This window comes from Homo sapiens, chromosome 15, assembly GCF_000001405.40.
Source record: "Homo sapiens chromosome 15, GRCh38.p14 Primary Assembly".
In the NCBI taxonomy this organism is placed as follows: Eukaryota; Metazoa; Chordata; class Mammalia; order Primates; family Hominidae; genus Homo; species Homo sapiens.
The window spans coordinates 90,055,231-90,083,005 of NC_000015.10; the positions used below are offsets into that span (position 1 = coordinate 90,055,231).

The 27,775-nt window shown below is 53.7% G+C and overlaps 1 protein-coding gene and 1 long non-coding RNA gene across 13 annotated transcripts in view, besides 5 other annotated features; one reads left to right on the forward strand and one right to left on the reverse strand.

The window, feature by feature from the left end:
* The window catches only part of ZNF710 (zinc finger protein 710), an 83,885-nt gene extending 56,924 nt beyond the window's left edge, over positions 1–26,961 (forward strand). For 5 of the 12 annotated variants that reach the window (XM_047432486.1, XM_047432483.1, NM_198526.4 and 2 more), the window contains exons 2-5: positions 11,880–13,365; positions 17,841–18,032; positions 18,886–19,060; positions 24,430–26,961. In XM_047432486.1, the coding sequence (XP_047288442.1) occupies positions 11,880–13,365; positions 17,841–18,032; positions 18,886–19,060; positions 24,430–24,599 (2,023 nt within the window). In that variant the 3' untranslated portion in view covers positions 24,600–26,961. Of the gene's footprint in view, positions 1–10,058; positions 10,478–11,879; positions 13,366–17,840; positions 18,033–18,885; positions 19,303–19,391 lie in introns of those variants that run through there. The other 7 variants (XM_047432482.1, XM_005254907.5, XM_005254906.5 and 4 more) reach the window with 3 other exon arrangements.
* Positions 3,673–4,384: an enhancer, noted in NCBI's record as "NANOG-H3K27ac-H3K4me1 hESC enhancer chr15:90602135-90602846 (GRCh37/hg19 assembly coordinates)". NCBI's record gives its function as "activates a minimal SCP1, AML or CMV promoter by ChIP-STARR-seq in primed H9 embryonic stem cells {active_cell/tissue: H9 hESC(primed)}" and the evidence as "EXISTENCE:reporter gene assay evidence [ECO:0000049][PMID:30033119]".
* Positions 4,210–4,329: an enhancer, noted in NCBI's record as "active region_10060". NCBI's record gives its function as "activates an Ori minimal core promoter by ATAC-STARR-seq in GM12878 lymphoblastoid cells {active_cell/tissue: GM12878}" and the evidence as "EXISTENCE:reporter gene assay evidence [ECO:0000049][PMID:35858748]".
* Positions 4,450–4,509: an enhancer, noted in NCBI's record as "active region_10061". NCBI's record gives its function as "activates an Ori minimal core promoter by ATAC-STARR-seq in GM12878 lymphoblastoid cells {active_cell/tissue: GM12878}" and the evidence as "EXISTENCE:reporter gene assay evidence [ECO:0000049][PMID:35858748]".
* Positions 4,520–4,569: an enhancer, noted in NCBI's record as "active region_10062". NCBI's record gives its function as "activates an Ori minimal core promoter by ATAC-STARR-seq in GM12878 lymphoblastoid cells {active_cell/tissue: GM12878}" and the evidence as "EXISTENCE:reporter gene assay evidence [ECO:0000049][PMID:35858748]".
* Positions 8,660–8,719: a silencer, noted in NCBI's record as "silent region_6809". NCBI's record gives its function as "represses an Ori minimal core promoter by ATAC-STARR-seq in GM12878 lymphoblastoid cells {active_cell/tissue: GM12878}" and the evidence as "EXISTENCE:reporter gene assay evidence [ECO:0000049][PMID:35858748]".
* ZNF710-AS1 (ZNF710 antisense RNA 1) lies at positions 19,282–26,977 on the reverse strand. Its single transcript, NR_146321.1, has 2 exons — positions 26,209–26,977; positions 19,282–19,683 (listed from the first exon to the last, which is right to left on the reverse strand). It is a non-coding gene; the product is annotated as a ZNF710 antisense RNA 1 (long non-coding RNA).

Below are 27,775 nucleotides of genomic sequence, written 5' to 3' on the forward strand. Positions count from 1 at the left end.
TGGTCAGGGTGGGGCAGGGGGTCCGGGCAAGCTTCCTGAGGAAGTGTTACCTGGGCTGAAAGCTGAAGGGAGAGGAATGAGGAAGAGCATTCCAGGTAGGGGAAAGCATGTGTGAAGAGGCCGTGTGCAGGTGAGGTCTATTAAAGAACATCGATGAAGTCCACGTGGCTTCACATGGAGGGAGGGGACAGCAGCACGTTGTGGACTTGTCATGGAGGCAGGGACCAACCAGACAAGTTCTGGAGGCCCTTGGTGAGATGTTTGGGCTTGATTGCAAGAGCAATGGGAGGTGACTGGGATGTGGAGCAGGTGGGATGTCGTGACCGATTGGTACAAGCATAAGGCTTGCTTCAGTCTTCTCTCTTTTGACTGACTATTAGCATGCTAGGGCAAGGGACAGCTGCGTGGCAGAACTCTTGAGAGCTCAAAACATTTCCTGCAGGTGGGTTGAATGGTGGAAATTCCTTGCCCCGTACAATCTCCTGTGCACACCTTCATGGTCCCCAGACGGTAGAAGGCAAACAGTCTGGTGGGAGAGCCTGAGCTGGGGGGTGACCCCCATGTTTGACATGGATAGAAGGAAACACAAGGAGTCAAGAGCTCCACAGGCACGGTGGCCCACGCCTGTAATCCCAGCACTTTGGGAGGCCGAGGCAGGTGGATCACCTGAGGTCAGGAGTTCAAGACCAGCCTGGGAAACATGGTGAAACCCCGTCTCTACTAAAAAAATACAAAAATTAGCCAGGCATAGTGGTGCACACCTGTAATCCTAGCTATCTGGGAGGCTGAGGCAGGAGAATCGCTTGAACCAGGAGGTGGAGGTTGCAGTGGGCCAAGATCACACCACTACATTCCAGCCTGGGCAACAGAGCAAGACTCCATCTTAAAAAAAAAAAAGGCCAGATGCAGTGGTTCACACCTGTAATCCCAGCACTTTGGGAGGCCGAGGCGGGTGGATCACCTGAGGTCGGAAGTTCAAGACCAGCCTGACCAACATGGAGAAACCCCGTCTCTACTAAAGATACAAAAAAAATTAGCCAGGCCGTGGTGGCGCATGCCTGTAATCCCAGCTACTCAGGAGGCTGAGGCAGGAGAATCAATTGAATCCAGAAGGCGGAGGTTGCGGTGAGCCGAGATCATACCATTGCACTCCAGCCTAGGCAACAAGAGCGAAACTCCGTCTCAAAAAAAAAAGAGCTCCAGATTAGTCCTGACTGAGGGGTAGGGGCCTTGGGGTCTTGGTTTCCATATCTGTAAAATGATGGCATTGGACAGGAGGGTCCCCAAAGTTCCTTTCAGCCCTGCCGGTGAAGATTCCAAGACCCACAGCCAAAGTGGCTGAAGCACAGGGTCTTCAGCAAGGCCACCATCCTGCCATGGGAGAGCCAAGCATCCCTCCCTTGCAGTAAAGAAGCACGCATGCGTTTACTGGGCATGTGAGCTGCGAGGTGGGAGGATCAGGCCCATGGCTTCTGGGATCCTGGTGTCTTCAGATCATAGGCGGCACATTACTCCTGTACTTAGCATCAAAGAGAAGCTACCATGTGCTTTTTATGCAGCTCTGCAGGCAGCTCAGCATTTGCCCACAGTAATTTGTGCAGCAGACGCCCTGTTAGTTTAGGCAGGCTCATTTCTATAAGAACCAGAGGCCCACCCAACTCACTTCAGGGCTAAGGGGGGTTGATTGCCAGCGAGGGTTCCCCAGGCTAGGGGCAGGGGCTGGGCACCATCCAGAATCCCGGTGCCTTCTGGGATCAGCATTCCCTTGGGCTCTCCTCAGACACCCACCCCGCCACCCCCACTTGCCCAAGCTCTCTGCCCCTTTGTGTTCTGGCCTCACTCTACCCCATGGCGCTCCTTTGTGTGTTCTTTGCACATCTGCTCCTGTGGCTGATGGACTGAGGCTTAATGCAGAGCCATGTTTCCAAGAGAGGAAACTTTGGCCCAAGTTCTTTCAGGGGATGGGGAGGGCCAGGCCATAGGTCTGGGCCCAGCTTCTGTATGAACTGCCCTAGATGGTGGGGGTATGCTATGCTTGGAGGCCCAGGGCTGGAAGTGGGGCAGCTGCCATTAGGCGAAGGTGAGGAAGAAGGCACCTGGGGTGGGGAGGGGCCTCCCACTTGATTCACCAGGCAAGGCCAGGTCACCGAGAGTATGCGTCAACTCTTGCTAATTAACTTCGAGGCCGGGCACGGTGGCTCACACCTATAATCCCAGCACTTCGGGAGGCCAAGCTGGGTGGATCACTTGAGCCCAGGAGTTTGAGACCAGCCTGGGTAACACGGTGAAACACCATGTCTACTAAAAAATCCAAAAATGAGCCAGGCGTGGTGGCGCGCTCCTGTAGTCCCAGCTACTCGGGTGGCTGAGGCACGAGAATCGCTTGAAGCCAGAAGGTGGAGGTTGCAGTGAGCTGAGATCATGCCACTGCACTCCAGCCTGGGTTACAGAGCAAGACTAAATAATAATAATAATAATAATAATAATAATAATAATTTGGAGAATCAGAATCACTTAAGAAGCCTCTAGAAAATCCCATGTCCAGGCCCTGAACCCAGAGATTCTGGTTTAACTGGTCTAGAGTGAGACCCCGGTATTGGCATTCTGATCAAACGATACCAGTTCTGGAACTCTGTGGACCCAGGGTCTCTGTCTTCACAAGAGTTTGTGTCTGAGAAGTCACATCAAAATAGTTCATGCCTCGACATGGGGGCTTCACCCCTCATATCCTTGGGTTTTAGGGTACTGTGACCTCTTAGAGGAGGGAGATCCTCACACAGGGGCCACCCTGTGGCAGTCAGACCCACCTCAGCCCTCAGCTTATAGAAGCAGAGGCGTGGCTCCCAGGTCAGGTGTAGGTGCACCCGGGCCTGGGGAATGGATCAAGAGAGCGAGGGTTGTCAGAGCAGGCCCTGTGGGAGGGGCTCTCTCACCTGGGAGGGCGTCAGGTGAGAAAGCACTCAGAGCTCCTGGGCCTGAGCTCCTGGGGACTCTGCCATTAGCAGGGGAAGGCAAGGAAGAAGGCACTTGGGGTGGGGAGGGCCCTCTGGCTTGATTCACCGGACAAGGTCAGGTCACTGAGAGTGTGCATCTGCTCTTGCTAACTAATTTGGAGAGGCCCTTCCCTATGCTGCCTGGACACCACCCCAAGGAGGAGGCAGGACTGTCCTGGGAGTGAGGTGCTCAGAGAAGAGCAAAGCCTTGGTAGAACTCTCAGGCAAGAGTTTCACTCTCCATCTCACTTACCGCATTCAGTCTTGGTCCCTTGGCGACTGTCAGTTTCCTTCTCTTCCCTTTTCTGTACGCTGGTGTCTTTCTCTAGAGACACTCCCGTGCTGGGCCCCCTCTGTTCCTCTGCAGTCACTGTCCTGTGGGTGGCCTGGCTGTCAGGGGAGATGATCCACAGTGTGATTATTGTATCAGTCAGGGTTCTAGAGTAAGAAATAGAACCAGTAGGAGACACTATATATTTATATATATATATATATACACACATATACACACACACGTACACAGAGAGGTCTCTTTTAAGGAATTGGCTCCTGTGATTGTGGGGGCTGGCAAGTCCAAAATCTGCAGGGCAGACCCGGGGGCTGGAAACTCAGCAAGATTCATAAGTTACAGTCTCAAGGCAGAATTCTTTCTCTGGGAAGCCTCAATGTTTGCCCTTAAGGCCTTCAACTGATTGATGCCCACCCACATTATGGAGGGTCATCTGCTTTTCTTAAAGTCAACCGATTGTAAATGTGAGTCACATCTACAGGATACCTTCATAGCAACATCTAGCTTAGCCAAGCACACAGCCGGGCACCATAGCTTAGCCAAGATGACGCATATGATTTACCACGACAGTGATGGTCTCAGGCTGAGAGAGGGTCCTCATCCTGTCCTCATGTACTTCAAGGGAAGCAGTGCTTGCACTAAATCCTCAAAGATGATGGGAAATTCACCCAGTTCGAGGGAAGGGCAGTCCTGGCAGGGGAATCAGCCTGTGCAGAGGCCCCAAGGTAGGAAACATCGGTGAGTTGGGGGCAGAGGGGCAGTGGAGCCTGCCTGGGAGCCATCTTGGGCAGCAAATGAAGGCATGGGCAGTGCATCCCGCCTACCAAAAGGCTGTGGGGGCTGCGGGGCCGGAGACCTGCATTCTAGCCCTTGCTCCCCCACCGTCTCACTGTGTGACCTTGGACCATTCCCTTCCCCTCCCTGGGCCTCAGTTTCCTCATCTGTTAACAGGGCCGGGTATGGTGCGCATCACGGGGGTTTGTGGGTTGGTGGCCCTGTGTCAGGGGCCCAGCCACTCTGACTCCCAGAGGTGGGGCTCAGTGAATCTGTCCACAGAGAAAGGGGAAGCAAGGCAGAGACAGGATCGCAGGAGGAAGAGACTCTCGAACTTCCCCTGCCCCTCCCCCGTGCCGGCGGCAGCTCCCTGGGCCTCTGGCTCCTGAGGCCTGTGGGCTGGGCAGAAGTGAGACTGTGGCAAGGGGCCCCGAGGCACAGGCCTTCCAGCTCTCGCTTCCTCTTCCCTTCTGCGCATGTGAGTAGAGTTTCCCTTGAAGCCTCCTGCGAGGAGGACAACAGGGGAAACCAAGAGGCTGGTTTCCTTAGGCGGTGAAATCCCGTGCATGTTTTTCACAGCGGGTGTACAGGCCTGGAACTTCCTCTTCTCCTCCCACCTGGTTACCTGTCCCGCCCACTCCAGCTTCAGCCTCTCCAGCCCCAGGGCCCTGGACTCCAAGGGGCAAAAGGCCCAGAGCCACATCCTGGAGGGCTTGAATGCCAGACCCAGGGTCAGGAGCCCCCTCCCCGCTCTTGCTCTGTTGGGTCCTGAACTGCCTCCACGGAAGCCAGTCCTCAGTCCCTGTCCCCACCCCACCCCACCCCCATACTGCAGCCCCCGCCTCCCAGAGATCCGGGTGCTTCATGTGGACTGAGCTTACGCAAGTCAACTCCCCAAGGGTGAGAACTTTAATTTGCCCCTTCTATCTACCCACAAGCAAGCACCTAATAGGTTTAGTAAATGTGCATTAAATCAGTGGCTCAAGCCTGGCACAGTGGCTTAGGCCTGTCATCCCAGCACTTTGGGAGGCCAAGGTGAGAAGATCGCTTGACCCCAGAAGTTCAAGACCAGCCTGGGCAACTTAGCAAGACTCCACCTCTACAAAAACAATGTAAAATTAGACAGGTGTGGTGGCACATGCCTTTAGTCCCACCTACTTGGGAGGCTGAGGCAGGAGGATTGCCTGAGCCCAGGAGTTTGAGGCTGCAGTGAGCTATGATGGCACCACTGCACTCCAGCCTGGACAATAGAGGAAGGCCCATCTCTTAAAAAAATAAAAAGTCAGGCCGGGCGCAGTAGCTCACGCCTGTAATCCCAGCACTCTGGGAGGACGAGGCAGGTGGATCACCTGAGGTCAGGAGTTCGAGACCAGCCTGGCCAACATGGTGAACACCTTGTCTCTATTAAAAATATAAAAAATTAGCCGAGCATGGTGGTGGGCGCCTGTAATCCCAGCTACTTTGGAGGCTGAGGCAGGAGAATTGCTTGAACCCAGGAGGCAGAGGTTGCAGTGATCCAGTATTGCTCCACCGCACTCCAGACTGAGCAACAGAGCAAGACACTGTCTCAAAAAATAAATAAATAAATAAAAAGTCAGAGGTTCAGCTGCAGGGCTGGAGACTGCAGTCTCTGAGCAACCTGGTGATTCAAGGCCAAGATGAGGAGCCAACAGGCAAGCCTGCCTTCCAGGATAAGTTCGAGGCACTGCTGAGGCTGTGTCAGGGAGTATGGGCTCACTGGACCTTCAGGAAATAGTCATCAAATTACATTGATCACGGGTGGTTGGTGATGTCCCAAGCCTGGCCTGGCAGAAGCCCCAGACCTCTGTCTATTGGTTGTTTTTGTTTGTTTGCTTGCTTGCTTTTTCTTTATTTCTATACTTTTTTTTGTTTTGTTTTTTGAGACAGGGTTTCACGCCTGTCACCCAGGCTAGAGTGCAGTGGCGTGATCTCAGCTCACTGCAACCTTCGCCTCCTGGGCTCAAGCGATTCTCCTGCCTCAGCCTCCCAAATATCTGGGGCTACAGGCATGCCACCACACTTAGCTAATTTTTGCATTTTTTTTTGCAGAGATGAGAGCTCATCACGTTACCCAGGCTGGTCACAAACTCCTGAGCTCAAGTGATCCGCCTGCCTCAGCCTCCCAAAGTGCTGAGATTACTGGTGTGAGCCTCCGCGCCCGCCCTTCAGTTGGTGTTTGAGATCTCCCTGGTGGTGGGAACTAGTCAAAGAGTGTCCAGGTGGCCACAAGGTCCTGTTGGTTCTTCCTTCAAAATGGCTCCTGTCGTGCGAGACCAGGTTTTGGGTGTCTTCACCCACTCTCTGCCCTGAGATCTGTGTCCCAAGGGACACCAGCCACCCTGATCCCACCCGACCCTCCTCTGCTCCTAGAGTGATGGGGTCCCCATGAGAGGAAAGGAGCACTGTTGTGAGCAGTGTGGGATGAGAGGAGGTGCTGTCACAGCTTGGGGAAGGGACCCTGGTAACCAGCAGGTAGGTCAATAGTTCCCGTTCCAAGTAGGCTCTTGTGCCCATTTTACAGATCAGGAAATGGAGACAGGTGGAGGAGCCAGGCGACTTGCCCAGCCTTTACAGGACCCATGGGGCAAAGCCGTAGGTGAAGTCACAGTTAGAGATTCCAGAGCTCTGAGGAGACGGCGTCCCTGCTTGGGTGGGGAAGGTCCCCTGCTGGCCCCCAGACGATGAGTCTTTGTTCCCTCCCCAGGGGCTGGCCTGGCCCTCAGGCCTGGGAGGTGGAGGTGCCGAGCCCTGGGAAATAGGGCAGTCCTGGGCTTCCGGTGTCACTGCACGCCCCTCCCCCTCCCGCCTTTGTTTCTTGGCCTCCACAGCCTCATTCTCTCTCCCTCCCCCTCACTCAGGCTCCTCCTCTGCCCCCCCTTCCCTGTCTCTTCATTTCTTCTCTCCCTCTCCCTTTCTCTCTCTCTCTCTCTGATATGTCCTCCCTTCCCCCACTCCCAGCACAACTACAATCAGGCAGCTCATCTGTGTCTATTTCCCCGCCTTTCACATTGACTTTCTCCCCACCCTGGGGACCGAGGGCATCCTGGTGGGAGGCCACGCCACATCCCAGCCAGTGGTCGCCCCTCATCTTGCCAGCCTGGGGCAGTCTGAGCTCCCCTTTCTCCTGGACATGGGGGGAGCTTTTGTTCTGAGTCCTTAGCACAAGTGGTGGGAGAGGCCCTGCTCTAAGAAGGGAGGGGCCCCAGTGGGGCCCCAGGCGGATGACAGAGGGGCCTTGGGTTGGGTGGGGAGGCAGCCCTGGCACACAGGTGACGCACACCTGGCAGGCTCTCTTCCTGCCCTGGATGGCCCTGTGCCAGGACATAAACAGAAGGGTTTAGCCTGGGAGATGGAACAGAGCGGGTGAGGAGACACGAGGCACAATGCTGGCCCAGGAGGAGGGAGAACAGAGTGATACCGGGCCTCCCCACTCCTCATTTCCGTGTGCGATAGGCAGGCAGAACACACATGCGAAACGCAGGTAAATTAGATTCCCTCCTCAGCAGAGCCCCTTCTGCATACACACACGCGCGCACGCGCACACACACACAGCCTGCCTGGCCGCCCCAGTGAACAAGACAACATGGACACGGGGCCTGCCCCCATAAGCCTCACAAAGAGAGCATTACAGGGTGGTGTGTGTTCTACTCAGCCAAGTCTCCAGGCCAGTGTAAAAGAAAGCGTGGGGCCAACTGCCCAGGTGGGCAGTGGCTCAATGAAGACTTCTAGTAGAAGGAGAGACCCCAGTTCCCCCAGCCGGCTGGGGCCCTGGACCAGCCAGCCAGGAAGCAGCCCGAGCCTTCATGTTGCAGTTTGCCCAGGTCGTGCCTACGTGCCCCTGCTGGCCTGTGGTGACCCAGGACAGCTCCTGAGAACTGAGGAGCCAGGCTCGGGTGTGACCTCCGCGGGTGCATAGCTGCAGGAGCACAGATGGGACCCAGCTGTGGGGCCACACGGGCCTGGCTGCAGACCCAACTCCCCCTTCATTGATGGGGCACTTGGGAGTGTGTTATTCAAGCCTGGATTTCCTGGGGCGTGAGGTGGGGAGCGCACTACCCCACCCCTGCCCCCCGGGTTGTTCCTAGTATTAAATGGCTGACTGGGGACCTCGTGAGTGTCTGTAATGAGAAGCTGTAGGTCTTCCGTGGTGTTTGTCGTCAGTTGTTGGCAGCTCTCTGTGCCCCTGCCCTGCCCCCACTTAGGCACAAACCCTCAGGAACAAGGACTCTGGGTTAGTCCCTTTCTACAGCCAAGCACAGGCTCCTGACACAGACGCACCTTCTCAAGTCCAAACTACCTGTTCATATGGGAAGGGGTTTGCTTCAGGTGTCCTGGTGTGACTATAAGGAGTGGCCCCTTGTAGAAAGGGGCCCGGTGTGGACGGTCAGCTCCATGGTTACCCTTGCTGTAGGGAACCACACTTCAGCTCCCACAGGCAGTTCGCTGGCTGACGTTTTTGCCCTCTCCTCACCTCTAAAGCAGTGTTAACTGTTTCCTTATGCCCGCGCCCTTGAGGTTGGCGGGAGGGGGCTGATTCCTGGTATTAGGCTGCAGGGGAAAGGAGAGGGAAGGGAACTAACGACACTGACATCCTCATCTCACTGTCCCATGAGTCAGGAGCCTCTTCCCCCCCATAGAGATGAGAATCACCTGATGTCACACGGCTAGTAGACGGCAGAGCCTGGATTGAACTCAGCATCCAGGGCCAAGGGGGAAGCACTGGCTTGGCCATTGATGCTCAGTTCCTCCTTCTTGCTGGTCCTGCCTTTGGGGAAGTTTACAAAAACTGCTGAACACATCATTTGCCCAAACCCCACAACAGACAGGAGGGTTGCCGCTGGGTGCTGTGTCAGACGGACTGTCGCGACAGGAGGCAGCCATGCTCCTCAGCGTGCTCTGCAAAACTGACAGTGGCTGGAGGGCACTGGGGGTGGCTGTGGTGGGCCCCAAGGGGCAGGACCCCTGCCTCATTCACCTTGCTGTCTCCAGGCACAAGCCCTAACCCATAGCAGGGATTTAGCGGCTATTTATTGTACAAATGAATGAATGAGTTCTCTAGTGGTTGTCCTCAGAATCACTTAAGCTTTGCTGAATTTGGGGCCCAAGAATGGAAACATCTCTTGGCTCTGTGGCTTTTTTCAGAAAAGCCTTCTCCCAGAGATCTGGGCAGATAATAATGGTTCTTTTTTTCTTCCTTTGAGACAGAGTCTCACTGTGACACCCAGGCTGGAATGCAATGGTGCGATCTCTGCTCACTGCAACTTCCGCCTCCTGGGTTCAAGTGATTCTCCTGCCTCAGACTCCCAAGCAGCTGGGATTACAGGCACCCACCACCACGCCCGGCTAATTTTTGTATTTTTAGTAGAGATGAGGTTTCACCATGTTGGCCAGGCTGGTCTCGAACTCCTGACCTCAAGTGATCTGCCCGCCTCAGCCTCACAAAGTGCTGGGATTACAGGTGTGAGCCACCATGCCCCTGCCAACAGTGATTCTTTACAGTTGGTTAGGGCCTTATAATGAACCAAGCTGCTTCACCTGTGTTAGGACCGTGGGCCCTCACAACCCTTCCATGGGTGAGTGTTTTCATCCCCGTTTTTCAGATAGGGAAACTGAGCCACTGGCATGACTTTGCTTAGTCACTTGCAAGTGACTGAGCTGGCACTCGAGGTCCTCGCTGACTGCATTTCCCAGCAGCTGGACATTGGGGTGGGGTGTGGTGGTTTGGAAGCACGTTTAGCCCCTGCGGCCTATTCCAGATGCACCCTGACCCCCCAGGCCGAGGTTTCCTTCTATCTGATCCCTTCCACGAGAGCCTCACTCTAAGCTTAATAGTTTAATCTTTGGTGTCCGTTTCAAGGAGGCTAAATTCCTGTCTGGGGTATTTTTAGCCGTCCTCAGGAAGGGGAAGCTCCGCTGGGCGCTGGGGGGAGGGGGACGCCTTGCCCGGAGCCGGTTTCCTGAGGAAGGGCCGCCGACCGTGTGCCTGACCGTGGCCCTGGGAGAGGCTGGTAGTTGGTCCGTTGGGAGCCCTGGGAGCAAAGCAGGCGAGAGTCGCCCCAGTAATGCCATCCCCTCTCCTCAGATGTGCCAGGTGTTGAACCAGGGCAAGGGGTATAGGCCCAGGAGGAGGTCGCCACTGCCTGGCGTGCTGCAGTCCTTGGAAGCCTGGAGAGGGCACGAGGGCAGGCCAGGAGAGCCGGGATGGCTCCAGGAGCAGGTGGACCTCGAGCCACGCCTCGGAGGCTGGTGGGAGGAGCAGGGGTCAGCAGGGTTGGGAAAAGGCTGCCCCAGGTGGGAAGACCCATGGGTGAAAAGACCGGGCTCCACAGACGGCTCACGGAGCAGGTGCCTCCATATGTGGCTGGAGCCCCCAGCGAGGGAAGAGGCCGCTGTGCTGGGGGTTTGTACCTGGGCACGTGGGCACATTGGCACTATTTAGAAGATCATGTTAGAGGCAGGTACAGTGGCTCATGTCTATAATCCTAGCATTTCGGGGGGCTGAGGCAGAAGGATCACTTCAGTGCTGGAGGTTGAGACAGGAGTGAGCCATGATTGTGTCACAGTAGCCTGGGCAACAGAGCAAGACCCCATCTCTAATCAAAAAGAAAGAAAAAAACGTTAGTTGAGAGATTGTGAATGTGAACTTGGGAGCCTGTTTGAGCATTCAATTCGGATAGTGGCCTCAAACATGTTAGCTGTCAAGGAGCTCTTCTTTCAAATCAGATCGGACATGGAACTCCAACGTATAAAATCAGATAAAAGTGATATTTTTATCAGTATAAATTTAGATATTTAAATGTATAACATTTAGCTAATCAAGAAAAACAACAACTGCTTGTGATAGATGCAGATGTTTATCGTCGGGGCTGACAAGTGACAGCCAGTGTTTGAGATTGGCCTCAGCACCTAGTTTATTTTTTTATATTGTGTTTCTGCCATACGTTCTCGTTCATACAGCCGAGCCATTACCAATAATGACAGTTAACACCTCACCGCACAGTCCCAAGGTCTGTGCAAATTAATTACTTTGGCAACAAAGCCAGTGGGGCTACAGTAGAATGTGTTAGAATGTGGCACATATTACATTTGAGTAGGTGGGCCTTTTAAAATCAGTTTTTAAATAGTGGAATCTTTATTTTTTGCATTTTTGAATCCGATTTTTAAGGATTTTTTTTTTTTTTTTTTTTTGAGACAGAGTGTCACTTTGCTGCCCAGGCTGGAGTGCAGTGGCGCGATCTCGGCTCACTGCAACCTCCGCCTCCCAGGTTCAAGTGATTCTCCTGCCTCAGCCTCCTATAGCTGGGATTACAGGTGCCGGCCACCACGCCCAGCTAATTTTGTATTTTTAGTAGAGACAGGATTTCACCATGTTGGCCAGGCTGGTCTCAAACTCCTGCTGACCTCAGGTGATCTGCCCATCTTGGCTTCCCAAAGTGCTGGGATTACAGATGTGAGCCACCATGCCCGGTCTTTTTAAGGAATTCTTGAAGGACCTGTAGAACACAATTTGAGAACAATTGAGGAAATCCCACCTCCCTGTTGTACAGATGGGAAGACTGAGGCCAGCAAGGGGGCAGAGCTTACCCCAGGATCTCCCAGGGAGATGGAGGAGATGGTCAGATACACAGCAGGAATCACTGCTCCCTATAATAACAAGTGTGCCCTGTTCCCAAGGCCAGGAGTAGAAAAGACATCAGAGCCAGACACACCCAAAATCAGCCAAGCCCTTGTCTGTGCTGTGTCTGTTGTCTGTCTGTGCAGGAGTGAGCCAGCAATATTAACCTTCCCTTCTCCACCCACAGCGATGCCCTCCTAGCTAGCCGTCACGGGATGGAGGGCTTCATGGACTCAGGGACACAGACGGACGCCGTGGTGGTGCTGTCCTTGGCTCAGGCCGCCGTGCTTGGCCTGGTCTCCGAAAATGAGCTCTTTGGAGCTACCATAAGCGCCGAGGCCTTCTACCCGGACCTGGGGCCCGAGCTTTCAGGGGCAGCCATGGGAGAGCCCGAGCCACCAGGCCCCGACGTCTACCAGCTGGCCTGCAACGGGAGGGCCTTGGAGGAGCCGGCGGAGGAGGAGGTGCTGGAGGTGGAGGCAGCCTGTGAGAAGCACACCCGGCGGAAGACGCGGCCACCTGTGCGGTTGGTGCCCAAGGTCAAGTTCGAGAAGGTGGAGGAGGAGGAACAGGAGGTCTATGAGGTTTCTGTGCCAGGTGACGACAAGGACGCAGGGCCAGCAGAAGCCCCCGCCGAGGCGGCCAGTGGCGGCTGCGACGCCCTGGTGCAGAGCAGCGCCGTCAAGATGATCGACCTCAGCGCCTTCAGCCGCAAGCCCCGGACGCTCCGGCATCTGCCCCGAACCCCGAGGCCGGAGCTGAACGTGGCCCCATATGACCCTCACTTCCCGGCCCCGGCCCGGGATGGCTTCCCCGAGCCCAGCATGGCGCTGCCTGGGCCAGAGGCCTTGCCCACAGAGTGTGGGTTCGAGCCACCCCACCTGGCCCCCCTGAGTGACCCCGAGGCCCCCAGCATGGAGTCCCCGGAGCCTGTCAAGCCGGAACAGGGCTTCGTGTGGCAGGAGGCCAGTGAGTTCGAGGCTGACACGGCGGGTTCGACCGTGGAACGCCACAAGAAGGCCCAGCTGGATCGGCTGGACATCAACGTGCAGATTGACGACTCCTATCTGGTGGAGGCGGGCGACCGCCAGAAGCGCTGGCAGTGCCGCATGTGCGAGAAGTCCTACACGTCCAAGTACAACCTGGTGACGCACATCCTGGGCCACAACGGCATCAAGCCACACTCGTGCCCACACTGCAGCAAGCTCTTCAAGCAGCCCAGCCACCTGCAGACGCACCTGCTGACGCACCAGGGCACCCGGCCCCACAAGTGCCAGGTATGCCACAAGGCCTTCACGCAGACCAGCCACCTCAAGCGCCACATGCTGCTGCACTCGGAGGTCAAGCCCTACAGCTGCCACTTCTGCGGCCGCGGCTTCGCCTACCCCAGCGAGCTCAAGGCCCACGAAGTGAAGCATGAGAGTGGCCGCTGCCATGTCTGCGTCGAGTGCGGCCTGGACTTCTCCACCCTGACCCAGCTCAAGCGCCACCTGGCCTCCCACCAGGGCCCCACCCTCTACCAGTGCCTCGAGTGTGACAAGTCCTTCCACTACCGCAGCCAGTTGCAGAACCACATGCTCAAGCACCAGAACGTGCGACCCTTCGTGTGCACTGAATGCGGCATGGAGTTCAGCCAGATTCACCACCTCAAGCAGCACTCCCTCACCCACAAGGTAAGGCCGTTCCCAGGGCCTGGGCATCTGCCTGCCCCTCCTGCCACTTTTTCATCCAGTACTTTCCAAAGTCCCAGATGGGACCATTTAGGTGGTCTCCTAGTTTTATCGTTACGTACTTATTTTGATGAGTATTAGAAATCAATTAGTATTAGAAACTAATTGAAATTAGTTTTTTAAGTAGTAAAGCTTTATGCATTCAAAAACATGTATTTGGCCAGGCACAATGGCTCATGCCTGTAATCCCAGCGCTTTGGGAGGCCAAGGCAGGCAGATTGCTTGAGTCCTGGGGTTTGAGACCAGCCTGGGCAAAATAATGAGACCCCATCGCTACAAAAAAATTTAAACATGGCTAGGCGTGATGGCTCATGCCTGTAATCCCAGCACTTTGCGAGGCCAAGGCGGGCAGATCACCTGAGGTCAGGAGTTCAAGACCAGCCTTGCCAATGTGGTGAAACCCTGTCTCTACTAAAAATACAAAAATTAGCTGGGTGTGGTGGTGGATGCCTGTAATCCCAGCTACTTGGGAGGCTGAGGCAAGAGAATTGCTTCAACCCGGGAGGCAGAGGTTGCAGTCAGCCGAGACCACACCATTGCACTCCAGCCTGGGCAACAGGAGCAAAACTCCATCTCAAAAAAAAAAAAAAAAAAAAAATTTAAACATTAGCCGGGTGTGGTGGCATACACCTATAGTCCCAGCTACTTGGAAGGCTAAGGTGGGAGGAACACCTGAGCCTGAGAGGCTGAGGTTGCAGTGAGCTGAAATCACGATACTGCACTTCAGCCTGGGCAACCAGACTGAGACCCTGTCTCCAAAAAAAAAAAATCATTTTTATAACCCCTGCAAGACCCAAGGAACACAGTTTGAGGATCACTGAAGTATCTTACCCTCCCTATTTTCTAGATGGGAGGACAGAGGCCAGAGAGAGGCCAGGATGCAACAGGGAGGCGTCCTGGCTCAGTGGTCAGAAGTACAGAGGGTGTCCTTTGTTCCTTGTCATTACAAAAGCAAATCAAAACCTGTGACTTCCCTTTAAGAACAGGCTAAATATATTTAATTTTCAAAGCAGAGAAGATGTAAGGAAAAATATTTGTTATGGAAAAGTACAGGTAGTTCTAGAATATGGCTAAACTAGGCACAGTGGCTCGGGAAGGCAGAAATTGAGCAGCACTTTCTAATCTACCATGTCCCTAAACCCAGCCTTGACCCGTACTCCCCTGCCCTCCATTCCCCGCCTTCAGCCACCAGCCTCCCCGCTTTTCAGCCAATATCACCTCCTCTGAGAGGCCCTCATATCCGGGTAGGTGGAATGAGGCCCCTTGGGTCCCACAATCCCACTCTGGTACTTGGCTGCCCCATGGTTTCCACCGAAATCCCACCAACTTTACCCTTCAAAGCTGAATGTACATAGAGCTTCCTCTCCCCATAACGGTGGCCTATGAGTGATACTCCAGGTCAAACTTGTGACCCTGTCTCTCACGGTAGACACTATAGGGAGTTGGGGAGCTGTTAATACCCTGCCAGGCCTAGAAACCAGCAATTTGTAGGTTTCATTGCAGAGGCTCCTGCAGTCAACTGCTAGTAGCTGCCTAAAATGTAATGTCAAGAAAGAGTCTAGCCAGGCATGGTGCTGCACACCTGTAGTCCCAGTTACTCAGGAGGCTGAGGTGGGAAGTTTGCTTGAACCCAGGAGTTTGAGGCTATGATTGCTCCTATTAATAGCCACTGCACTCTAGCCTGGGCAACATAGCAAGACATTTTTTTTTTTTTAAGAAAAAAAAAAAGGAAGAATTCTGGGCTGGATGCAATGGCTAACAGTAATCCCAACACTTTGGGAGGCTGAGGCAGGAGAATCACTTGAGCCCAGGAGTTTGAGACCAGCCTGGCTAACATAGTGAAACCCTGGCTCTACTAAAAATATTTTTTAAAAATAGCTGAGTGTGGTGGTGTGCACCTGTAGTCCCAGCTTGAACCCAGGAGGCAGAGATTCCAGTGAGCCGAGATCACACCACTGTGCTCCAGCCCAGGTGACAGAGCAAGACTCTATCTCAAAAAAAAGAAAAAAATCAAAAAATTAGCCAGGCATGGTGGCACACACCTGTGGTCCAGCTACACATGAGACTGAAGCAGGAGGATTGCTTGAGCCCAGGAGGTCAAGGCTGCAGTGAGCTGTGATTGCGCCACTGCACTCCAGTCTGGGCAACAGAGCAAGACTCTGTCTCCAAAAAGAGAAAAGGATTCTGAAACTGAATCTAGGCTTGGCAATAAAACCCTATGATGGATTGTTAATGTCTGCAAGGAGTGATTGTGCAGGGTGACAGCATATATGCTATATATTTGCCATCTTTCTCCTCTACTGGGGGACTTAAAAATCCCAAGTCCAGGGCCTGGCACAGTGGCTCACGCCTGTAATCCCAGCACTTTAGGAGGCCGAGGCGGGCAGATCACAAGGTCAGGAGTTCGAGGCCAACCTGGCCAACATGGTGAAGCCCCGTCTCTACTAAAAATACAAAAATTAGTTGGGCGTGGTGGTGGGCGCCTGTAGTCCCAGCTACTCGGGAGGCTGAGGCAGGAGAATTGCTTGAACCCGGGAGGCAGAGGTTGCAGTGAGCCAAGACCGTGCCGCTGTACTCTAGCCTGGGCAACAAAAGCAAGACTCTGTCTTAAAAAAAAAAAAAAAATCCCAAGTCCACAGAGTGTTAATACTGTGAAGAAAAGCTGAAAGCAAAAACCAAAGGCTAATAAAACTGGAAATGTCCCTATTATCAGCCTAAATTTGTACAATGTGCACATCATGTGTTTATAAAAGAAACTCCTGAATGGCAGGGCCCCCTGGTGGTCATACACATCTGCGATGTGTCAGGAGGGGGTATACAGCACAAGACACAGTCCCTGCTGCTAAGAGACATAGACACGGGAACCATTAAGTTATAATACAAAGTTTTTATACCAAACAAGCAGTTAAGACAGCAGCTGTGACCACAGACACATGTCCCACTGGGTTCCTACTAAATTACTAACTCATCAAAAAGAAAACAGCTCCCAACTTAAAAAAAATTTCTTTTATTTATTTATTTTTACTCTTTTTTTTTTTTTTTTTGAGACGGAGGCTTACTCTGTCACCCAAGCTGGAGTGCAGTGGTGTGATCTCAGCTCACTGCAACCTCCGCCTCCTGGGTTTAAGCAATTCTACTGCCTCAGCCTCCTGAGTAGCTGGGATTACAGGCGCATACCACGCTCAGCTAATTATTGTATTTTTAGTAGAGATAGGGTTTCACCATGTTGGCCAGCCTGGTCTCGAACTCCTGACCTTGTGATCTGCCCACCTTAGCCTCCCAAAGTGCTGGGATTACAGGCATGAGCCACCGTGCCCGGCCTTTTTCAAATTTTAGAGATAGGGTCTTGCTATGTTGTCCACACTAGTCTTGAGTTCCTGGCCTCAGGTGATCCTCTTGCCTCAGCCTCCCAAAATGCTGGGATTACAGGTGTGAGCCACCGTGCCCAGCCCAGCTCCCAGCTTTTATCCTAATTTTCCTCCATGGATAATAAATTGGACCCCTTTGCACACAACACCCTGTCCTGCTCTGGGAGTGACCTCCAAACCGTAGAAAAGAAAGTTCACAGTCCAAACCAGTGGGTTTTCTCCTGGAATCCATGTCTCCTGGGGGTGAATAGCCCAAAGTCCATCAATGATAAGAATCATCTGGGGGCCCTGTTGAGAATAAAAATTCCTGGGCCCATCCCAGGCCCCATGAATTAGACCCTCCAGGGAGCGGCCTGCAAGGCTGTATGTTGGATGAGAACTACAGGTGGCTGTTATCACCAGGGAAATTAGGAAAACACTTTCAAGAGATGAGTGGATAGGCTCTGGGAGTTTGAGACCCTTCGAAATTCTACATAGACCTAAGTGCCATTTTTGGGGGGGTGTCCATAGCTTCAATCATATTATCAAAAGGGTCTGAACCAAAAAGGCCACCAAGAGACAGCATGGAGGATAAAAACACATACACGTGTCCTTGATCTGATGAAATAGTCCACAGACAGCGGGCAGACCCTGTGTCTTCTTGGCGACAGACCCCTGCCGCCTAGTGTGGTACTGGCTTGGAGCAGGTGCCCGGTAAATGGTTGTTGAATGAATGAATGAATGAGCACACATTTGCCTTAGTGCACTAGTACAGACCTTATGTACACATCCACCCTGGGGGCAGGAGACAGCAGGTATCTGGATCGTTACAGTAAAGCACAGCCTATTTCTATTACTGAAAGGCTTCCTGGAGTAAGTGGCTCTGCCCCCACATTCTTCGGTGGTTTTAAACAAGTGTTACCTATTTTGGAATACCCTCAAAAAGAGACATTTCCCAGAAAGTGTGCCTTTGTGATGCTATGGCCCTGCCCCTACCCGGCTCCCCACAAAGGGTCACTGCCAGAGGCTGTGCCCATTGTGTGGCCCTGACCATCACCCCCCACCCCACAGGGCGTGAAGGAGTTCAAGTGCGAGGTGTGTGGCCGGGAGTTCACCCTACAGGCGAACATGAAGCGGCACATGCTGATCCACACCAGCGTCCGGCCCTACCAGTGCCACATCTGCTTCAAGACCTTTGTACAGAAGCAGACTCTCAAGACCCACATGATTGTACACTCGCCCGTGAAGCCATTCAAATGCAAGGTACCCGGTCATCAGGCCCCGGGGCTGGGACCTCCCCGAGGGTGGTCTGGAATCAGCATGCCTGCAGCAGCTGTGGCCCACCAAGCGCCAGCCTGGCCAGTGCGGGCAAGAGGAGCCCCGGCTGGGTGAAACTTAGCCTGGGCTTTGGGGGTTGGGAGGGCAGGCGGGGATTCACATCCTGAAAGCTGCTGAAGTTGGGTTTTTCTGAGAGCTGGGGAGGGAGTGAAGGTCATGGTGCAGCCACAGAGAAAGGACCCCAGCCTGAGGGCTTAGTGCAGCTAGAGATCCAAGCCCTGGGTTTCTGATAAGTGCAGCTCAGAGAAAGTGGGGCAGACTCACAGGAGCAGTGACCCCCAATGGATGGCTTGTGTCCCTGTCTCTCGGGTGTCTGGGGTCACATGGAAAAGCATAAAGAGAGAACTGTCCATAAAGAACAGGATTCTGGGCCAGGCATGGTGGTGCATGCCTGTAATCCCAGCATTTTGGGAGGCTGAGGTGGGTGGATCATTTGAGGTAAGGAGTTCGAGACCAGCCTAGCCAATGTGGTGAAACCCCTTCTCTACTAAACATACAAAAAATTAGCTGGGCGTGGTGGCACGTGCCTGTAGTCCCAGCTACTCGGGAGACTAAGGCAGGAGAATCTCTTGAACCCAGGAGGCAGAAGTTGCAGTGAGCCGAGATCATGCCACTGCACTCCAGCCTGGACAACAGAGTGAGAGTCTGTCTCAAAAAAAAAACAAAAAAAAAAAACAAAAGAATAGGATTCTGGCCCAGCCATAGAGGTGGGAGTGGGCTGGGGTCCGGGGAAAGCAGGTTCCCCACAGGCTCAGGACACCGGGTTGATGTGTTCTAGGTGTGCGGGAAGTCCTTCAACCGCATGTACAACCTGCTGGGCCACATGCACCTGCACGCCGGCAGCAAGCCCTTCAAGTGCCCCTACTGCTCCAGCAAGTTTAATCTCAAGGGCAACCTGAGCCGGCACATGAAGGTCAAGCATGGCGTCATGGACATCGGCCTGGACAGCCAAGGTGGGTGGGCCAAGCGCAATGGACAGAGCAGGAATGATACCAACATGACGCACTCAGGAGCCTCCTGCCCAGTTAGAGGAGTGGGGAGGCTGGCCAAGGCTGAGACTTCGTTGGGGTGGGCTCAGGTCTGGAAGGGGGGTACCCTGGAAGGCCATGATGACAATAACGATGGGATATTTATGTCTTCTTCAAAGGACTTAAATGAGATCACGTAAACAATATAATAAAAATCATAACTAACATTTATTGAGTGCTAACTGTGTGCCAGGCCTTTATTAACTCATGTGATCCTCAAAGCGAGGTTGGCTCTGTCATTGTCATCGTTTTACAGATGCAGAAACTGAAGAACAGAGAACTTAGATAGCTCATGCAAGATGACAACACAGCAGGAGGTGACAGACACTTTATTTCGTTACCGTGAGATAATATTTCAAATAAGTGTATGGGAAAGAAAGTTAGAAAGGGGAAAAAATGGCAGCCGGAAAGATAAGGGAGAGCCAGGTGAGGTCCCAACTCCAAGTACACCATGGGAGGTCCTAAGCAAGGGACATGCAGAGGGGAGATCTGAGCTTCCCAGCAACCAAGGCAAAAAAGTGTCAATCAGTCACACTCTTCACAAGTGCCTGCCAGAGACTATAACCCACATACTCATGAAAGGGCCAGACAGCCCTGACGTTAAGATCTGGGAGAAATTTTAGGAGAGGATCCTATGCCTCAGCAGTTCGTAGAAGTTTCAGAGGCTGTCAGAAAACATCCCAAGTGTTAGCGGTAGCCTTTCCCTCCAGCAGTGGTCAGTACTTAAAGCATTTCTGTTGGGTGACAGCAAAGCTGTTAGCCTCTCTGGCCTCATGGTGGGGAGGGACTGCTGTGGAGACTCCACAGGAAGGAGGGAGCCAACAGCGCTACAGGGAGGCTCCTTCTACAGTTGGGAGCTATTTCTGGTGCTCTGGCTGGGCATGATGGCTCACACCTATAATCCTGGCACTTTGGGAGGCCGAGGCAGGAGGATCCCTTAAGGCCAGGAGTTTGATACCAAACCAGGCAACATAGTGAGACCTGGTCTCTACAAAAATATTTTTAAATTAGCTGGGTGTGGTGGCGTGTGCCTATAATCTCAGCTACTTGGGAGTCTAAGGCAGGAAGATCACTTGAGCCCAGGAGTTCAAGGCTGTAGTGAACTGTGATCGGACCACGGCACTCCAGCCTGCGTGGCAAAGCAAGACCCTATCGCCAAATTATAATAAAGAAATTCTGGTGTGCCTCTGAGTCACACCAGCTGGGAACATGCTTTGGCAGTAACCAGGTGAGCTGACTTGCCACGTGGGATTATTTACTGGAATGCAGGCAGGCACGCGGGAACAGCTGCAGTAGCTTAACTCTGGTTTTGGAACAGCTGACCAGTGAATGGCCTGGGTTTTCTGGCAGAAACAGGTATCTCAGTTGTTTTGTTTTGTTTTTCAGTTGTCTATTAAGGTTGCTTCCAGTAGACGAGAATGAAACCCCGTCGGCTGCTCTTGGTAGCTCCTTGCTACTCAAAATGTGGTAGGAGGATGAGCAGCCTCGGCCCCACCTGGGATCTTGCTGGCCTCTCAGCTCCACCCACACCTGCTGAGTCAGACTCTACACTTCAAAAAGATCTCTGGGCCATTTGTTGCAGTCAAGTTTGAGACCCACTGGACCAGACTAGTGCCTCAGAGTCTCCTGGAGGGCTTGTTGAAACAAAGTGCTGGCCCCACCCCCAGAGTTTCTGATTCAGTAGATCTGGGGTGGGGTCTGAGACGCTGCCTTTCCCACAAGTTCCCAGTTCTTAGCAAAGCAGCCGCTGGTTCAGGGACCTCATGTTGAGAACCTTTGATCCAGACTGCAGAGGGCTGGCTGGCAAATCAGCTGCATGTTGGGAGTCACCTGAGGAATGTTTTAAATGCTGATGCCTGAGTTTGGACCTGAGGTTCAAATGTAAGTGATCTGGAATGTGGCCTGGGATCAGGATTTTTGTAAAGCACTTTGGGTGAGTCCATGTGCAGTAGATTTTGAGAGCTGTATTCTAGTGGATCTGCCCTGTTGCTAACCCACCAGAAGGAACCAGAGCAGAACGTGCCCTTTTGGAAATAACTGGGACCATGAAGAGACTGTCAGTGTTACAGCTCTTTTAGAATTTGTTAGGCTGGGCGTACTGGCTCACGCCTATAATCCCAACACTTTGGGAGGCAAATCCCAAGGTGGGCAGATCACCTGAGGTTGGGAGTTCGAGACCAGCCTGGCTAACATGATGAAACCCCGTCTCTACTAAAAATACAAAAATTAGCTGGGCGTGTTGGCACATGCGTGTAATCCCAGCTACTCGGGAGGCTGAGGCAGGAGAATCACTTGAACCTGGGAGGCAGAGGTTGCAGTGAGCCGAGATTGTGTCACTGCACTCCAGCCTGGGTGACAGAGTGAGACTTTGACTCAAAAAAAAAAAAAAAAAAGCATTCATTTAGCAGGTTTTCCAGTTTTTACCAGAAATCGCCCCACCCCCATCCCACCACCCAAACAAGATTTTTTAAAAAGACTGTCCCTGTACACCTTGTTCCTCGGGGTGGTTAAGGCACAACCTCTTTCTATATGAGCTCAGTCACCAGGGATGCTTAGAATTCCTCTATTCCTGGCCGTACCAGATGACAGAAGGAAGCGATTGGCCCTGGAATGACTGGGCTCCAGGTCCCCACCTCCCTCATACAGCCTTGGTCTGGGAAGCCCAGGCTTGATGCGTATGCAGAAGGAAGGCAGCATACATTCTAGACAGAACGATCTAGTAACTATGGGGCTGTCATTTGGGGAGGTGGATCAATGTCCTTATAAAAAATGCTACAGACTATTCTCTGGGGCCCACAGGACGGGACCATAGACTTAATAAACAAAATGGGGACGGTGTACAGAGATCCACAAGTAGAAATTTTCTCAAGGTGCTTTTTTTTTTTTTTTTTTTTTTGAGACGGAGTCTTGCTCTTTCACCCAGGCTGGAGTGCAGTGGCGCGATCTCGGCTCACTGCAAGCTCCACCTCCTGGGTTCACGCCATTCTCCTGCCTCAGCCTCCCAAGTAGCTGGGACTACAGGCGCCTGCCACCACGCCCGGCTAATTTTTTTGTATTTTTAGTAGAGACGGGGTTTCACGGTGTTAGCCAGGATGGTCTTGATCTCCTGACCTCATGATCTGCCTGCCTTGGCCTCCCAAAGTGCTGGGATTACAGGCATGAGCCACTGCGCCTGGCCCCCAAGGTGCTTTATTTAGCTTGTTTTTGAAACCAGCTGTGTAACATGAGGGTGTGGCACTAGGACTGAGGGAAGAAACAGCCCAAATCTATAAGATATGGGTCAAGTGACCTTGTTTTATAAAGTCCGGAAGACTCACAGTGGGTTAGATGCTACAGGCACAAGTAACAGATACCCATTCAGACTGGCCTAAACAATAAGGAAATCCATTAAGAAATGGCTCAAGACCAGGTGTGGTAGCGCACACCTATCGTCCCAGCTACTCGGGAGGTTGAGTTGGGAGGATCACTTTGAGTTTGAGGCTGCAGTGAGCCATGATTGCACCACTGCACCCCAGCCTTGGCAATAGAGCAAGACCTTGTCAAAAAAAGAAAAGAAATGGGGCCAGGCGCAGTGGCTCACGCCTGTAATCCCAGCACTTTGAGAGGCCGAGGCAGGCGGATCACCTGAGATTGGGAGTTCAAGACCAGCCTGACCAACATGGAGAAACCCCGTCTCTACTAAAAATACAAAAAAAATTAGCCGGGTATGGTGGCGCATGCCTGTAATCTCAGCTACTTGGGAGGCTGAGGCAGGAGAATCGCTTGACCCCAGGAGGTGGAGGTTGTGATGAGCCAAGATTGCACCATTGCACTCCAGCCTGGGCAACAAGAGCGAAACTCGGTCTCAAAAAAAAAAAAAAAAAGAAGAGAAAAGAAATGGTTCAAAGTCTAGGCCCTCTTCAGAGCTGGCTGATTCAGCTTGCCAACAGTGACATCAGGGTGAGGCTTCCTCTGTCCACAGCATTAGCTGCGAATATCCTCATGGTCACAAGATGGCTGCCAGTGGCCGTCAGGGTGTGTGCTTCCTTGTTCACATCCAGTGGAAGAGTGACAGCCTGCTCCCCTTAGCTCTCTGACACCAATGAGAAGGTGCTAAGAACTTACTAGCAGGCCTTTCCTCATGACCCATTCAACAGGATTGGGTCACGTGCCTATTCCTGAACCACTAATTGGGAAGGGATGGGATTACTCTTAGACCAGTGGTTCTCAACTGAGCATGAGTTTGTCTTCCAGGTGACAGTTGGCCATGTTTGGAGACATTTATGGTTGTCACAACTGGGGTGATGCTACTGGCATCTCATGGGTAGAGGCCAGGGATGCTGTCAAACATCCTACAATGCACAGGACAGCCTCACAACAAAGAATTATGGCCCTAAGTGCCAAGGTTGAGAAAGTCTGCCTTAGACCTGTCAGGGCTGCCCCCAGCCTGGGGTCTGTTTCCCCCAAAACACGCACATCTCAGCGGACAGGGCCAGAATGCACTTTGGGGGCCAGCCACAGCCCCTGCCAGCCTCCCAGTTCCCCCAGATCCTACCCTGGGCTTCCCCTGTAAGAGCTTTATAATGAGATTTCAATTTTATAAAATTATAAGGGGCCTCTTAGGAGTTTTTGCCTGACATATCTTTATGAACCTACCCTGAGTGTTTGTCCCTGGAGAGCCAGGCCCAAGGATACCAATGGCTAGAACCAACAGAAAAGCACAGCTGCCGGCAGGAGGCCTCACCCTCCCGCAGTGTGAGGCAGAGCAGCACAGTGGCTCAGAACAACAGCATGTGCTGGGTGACCTTTGGCAAGTTGATTCACCTCTCTAAACCTCAGCCTTCTGAGCTGCTAAATGGGGCTGTTGTGATTGCTGGATGAGGCGAGGCCTGCGAAGTGGCTGGCATGCAGCAGGTGCTAATGAGTGCTGCAAAGGTGATGTCACGCAGGCAGCTTCCCGTGGCCAGAGAAACATTGCAGAGAAGGGATAAGTAGGGCTTAGTGACTTTGACGGGTCAATGGAAGAATGACCCAAAGAAGGCTTCAAGGCCAGGCCTGCAGTTCTCCACCACAAAGGCCCTCACTGATAGCACCCACTCCCCCACACTCAGCTTTGGGGCCTAGGTCTGGTCACCCAGCTAGAAGCCACAGGACCCTGAGGCGTCCGAGGGTGGGAAGGCTGAGAGGCAGCTGAGACTCCTGGAGGCCGTGACTGGGAAGCCCTCTCTTTAGAAAGGCCATCAGCTTCCTGCGTGGGGGTGACTGGCTCCTCCCGAGAGATGGCAGCCAGGTCTGACTGTGCCCCTCTCTTACAGACCCCATGATGGAGCTGACAGGCACTGACCCTTCAGAGCTCGACGGCCAGCAGGAGATGGAGGACTTCGAGGAGAACGCCTACAGCTATGCGAGCGTGGACAGCAGCGCCGAGGCCAGTGTCCTCACTGAACAGGCCATGAAAGAGATGGCCTACTACAATGTGCTATAGCGCAAGCTGGGCCACCCCTAACGGGGGCCGGGGGCGAGGGCATGGGGGTGAGACCCATGGGCTGCAGGCTGCACCTCCTGCAGCCGAGAAACAAGCTACTGCCCCACTGTTCTGAGCCCTCCCTCCCCGAGTCATTTGCACCACTAGGGACCTTTAGACCAAATGGAGACTGTACTACTGGCCCCGGCTGTGAGCCAGCACAGGCCCAGGCATCCCAGCAAGGGAAGGAGAACACGCGAGGCCCAGATCTGGGTCTCCCTGGCCTGCTTCCGTGGGGAGTGGGAGAAGTGGGGCCACTGGGGACAGGTCACAAGGGCACCGGCCCTCGGGGTCTCTCCAGGCCCAGCAGAGCTCTTCAGGGGTCCTGACACTGGAAGAAGAGACCACTTGAGCCATGTCTTTTTCACGGCCAACTCCTGCCTCTAAGGATGTCTGAGCTCCCCTCTGGCCAGTACTGCCCACCTCTACCTTGTCCAGGCCCCCTTCCCCGCCCTGTCGACGGACCGCCAGGCAGGGCACTCTGCCTTCTACCTCCCGGGGTCTCCCATGCGCTCCTCAAGCCAGGTGTGCACGTGGCCCTGGCCCTGGCCTGCAGGACAGCTGGGGGGCACCCAGCCCCCAGAAGACCCCTGTCCTACATCCCTTTCTGGAAGTGAGTGTCCCTACAGTGGATTGCAACACATGTCGTCCACTTCGACCCTAGCTGGAGTGCCTCACCAGGGGGCCCCACTAGGAACAAAGCCAGGACAGGCCCCGCGTCAGGCACACACTAACAAAACCAGAAGCATGGGGCAGGGCAGGGCGGAGTGAGGGCATCACAGGGGACCAAGAAGGGCTGTCCTTGGGGGAGGCCCAGGACCACCTGTCGGGGAGGGGGACCGCAGTCATTTCTCATTCCTCAGTGTCCACCTTGCGACGGGGATAGCCACGAGTCAGCAGCTTCCCGGAAAGAGCAACGTATTTTAAAAAGGAAAGTAAAGCCCACAGAGGGAAATCAAGGGTTTTTTTGAGCAAAGGGGGTCTTCTGAAGGTAACTTATTATTTTTTTCTTTCCAACTGTGTGTCACCTATGACCTTTTCTGATGGAGATGCATTTTCTTTTTCCAAGCGTAAGCTTCCTAATGTGCTGTGCGTGCTTCCTACCCACCCACCCCGAGCAGCCTGGCCGGGCAGGACTGGGGCTCCATGGGGACTGTCACCCTGGCCCTGGAGGTGCAGCCGCTGGCAGCAGCCTCAGCAGGCTGGGGTGGGAGGCAGGAGAAGGCAGAGCTGGGAAGCCCTCCACCCCTGCCTGGCTCCTGCAGTCGCTGACTTGCTCTGTCCCATGTCCCATCCTCGGCTGTCAGGGCTGCTGACTCTGCTCAGCCAACAGCTAGCTCCCTCGCTCGCCTGCTCTCTTCCCCTCTGTTCCCACGCCAGCTCCTGCCCCTGGAACCAGAGATGACAGGCCCAGGGCAGTGAAATAGCACATTCAGGAACTCTAGGGCACCCGGACCCCCCCACCCACTTGCCTCCTGAGGCCTCAGTGGGGAGGGGCAAGCAGGGGTCTTCCCCAAAGGCACAGATGAAGCCACTAGCTTCAGCCTAGAAACCCGGAGAAGGGAACAGCCTGCGGTGGGAGGAACCAATCTGCAGCGCAGCCACCCCCAAGGCTGGATCCTTAAGTGAAGGACCAAGCCAGGCCTCAGGGTGACTGTGATCAGGACTGAGGGGTGGACAAGGTGGCCCAAGTATGGCTTCCAGACCCCGAAGCCCCACGACCTCCCAGGTGCCCGCCATGATGACCCTCAGGTGGCAGTGACCCCGTCACTGTATAAGACATTTTCTCCTGCTGAGCAGAAGGCATCATCCCCTGCAACTACCTCTTCCCACGTCTTTCTCCCCTGGTACCAAAAAGAACCCTGTACCTCTCCTCCTCCTCCTCCCTCCTGCCAGTGCAGTGGCCTTGGTCTTGGAAACTGAAGGGAGAAGGTCTGGCCCCCAGGGTGGGGCTCTCCTTTCCCTCCCCCAGCCCCGCCGTCAGCACTGGCCCTCTGTGAGGTTCGATACTTGAACGCCCCCTGCCCTGTGCCTTGGACCTGGGCAAAGCTAGGAGGAGGAAACAGCACAACTCACAGTTTGAGCTGGGGGGTGGTCTTGGCAAGGCTCCTGTCTGTACCCCTCCCTAACCTTCTCAAAAGAGGTGCACAGCCTCTCGGGTGACTTGGAAACTCCTGGACAAATTCCATTCTAACTTATTTTGACATGTATACAAACCAACTGTTTAGAGATTCCACTTGTGCAAAGCCCTACTGTGTTTTTATGTTCCTGTTTAAAAGAGAAGTTTACTTAGCAATAATTATAAATAAATGAATATTCTTTAGTGAGGTGACTGCAAATGCTTCTTTCCCCAGCTCTTGGGGACCTGGCCCTCACTCCCAGCAGGAACTCCCAGCAAAACTTCCCAGCCCCACACAGCAGGGCTGCACTCTCCCAGGGCCCGGGGGAGGCTGAGACCATCCTCTGCACTGGAATGGCCCCCTGCAGGGCCAGGCGCCTATAGCCAGCTGCCCCGGGCCCAAGAGAGTGGTGTGGGCCACGGCCCCTGTATTCCCACCACTTGCAGAGAAAAGCTGCTTCCCCTCCCTACCCACCCACATGGCTTCAGGAAAGAAGCCAGCTCCCGATGCCAGGCTGGGCTTCAGAGGCTGCGTTCTGCAGAGCTGCCAGCCCCGTGCTGGTGACAGGCAAGAAGAGGCAGGAAGCCTTGAGCTTCCTCCCAGGGGCTGGGCCTGCTAGAGCCAGCAGTCCACGTTTCTTCTTATAGCCCTGAGAGTTTCAGGGCATTACTCAGGAAAAGCAAGCGGGGGGTCACCAGTGTGGATGGAGGGCTAGAGCCCTTCCAAAGCCACTCAGTCTACCGCAATGGTCGGGTTTCAGGAGCCATAGGAGTCCCCCCAGTATTTAGGAAAGGGACTTTGTAAGATGGGGTTTTGAGAGATGGGGTCTCACTCTGTTACTCAGGCTGGAGTACAGTGGTGCAGTCATAGCTCACTACAGCCTCAAACTCCCGGGCTCAAGTGATCCTCCCACCTTGGCCTCCCAAAGTGCTGGGACTATAGGCATGAGCCACCACACCTGGCCAGGACTTTATAAAGATTATACAACTCTTCTCCAGGACATTTTAACACCAAAAA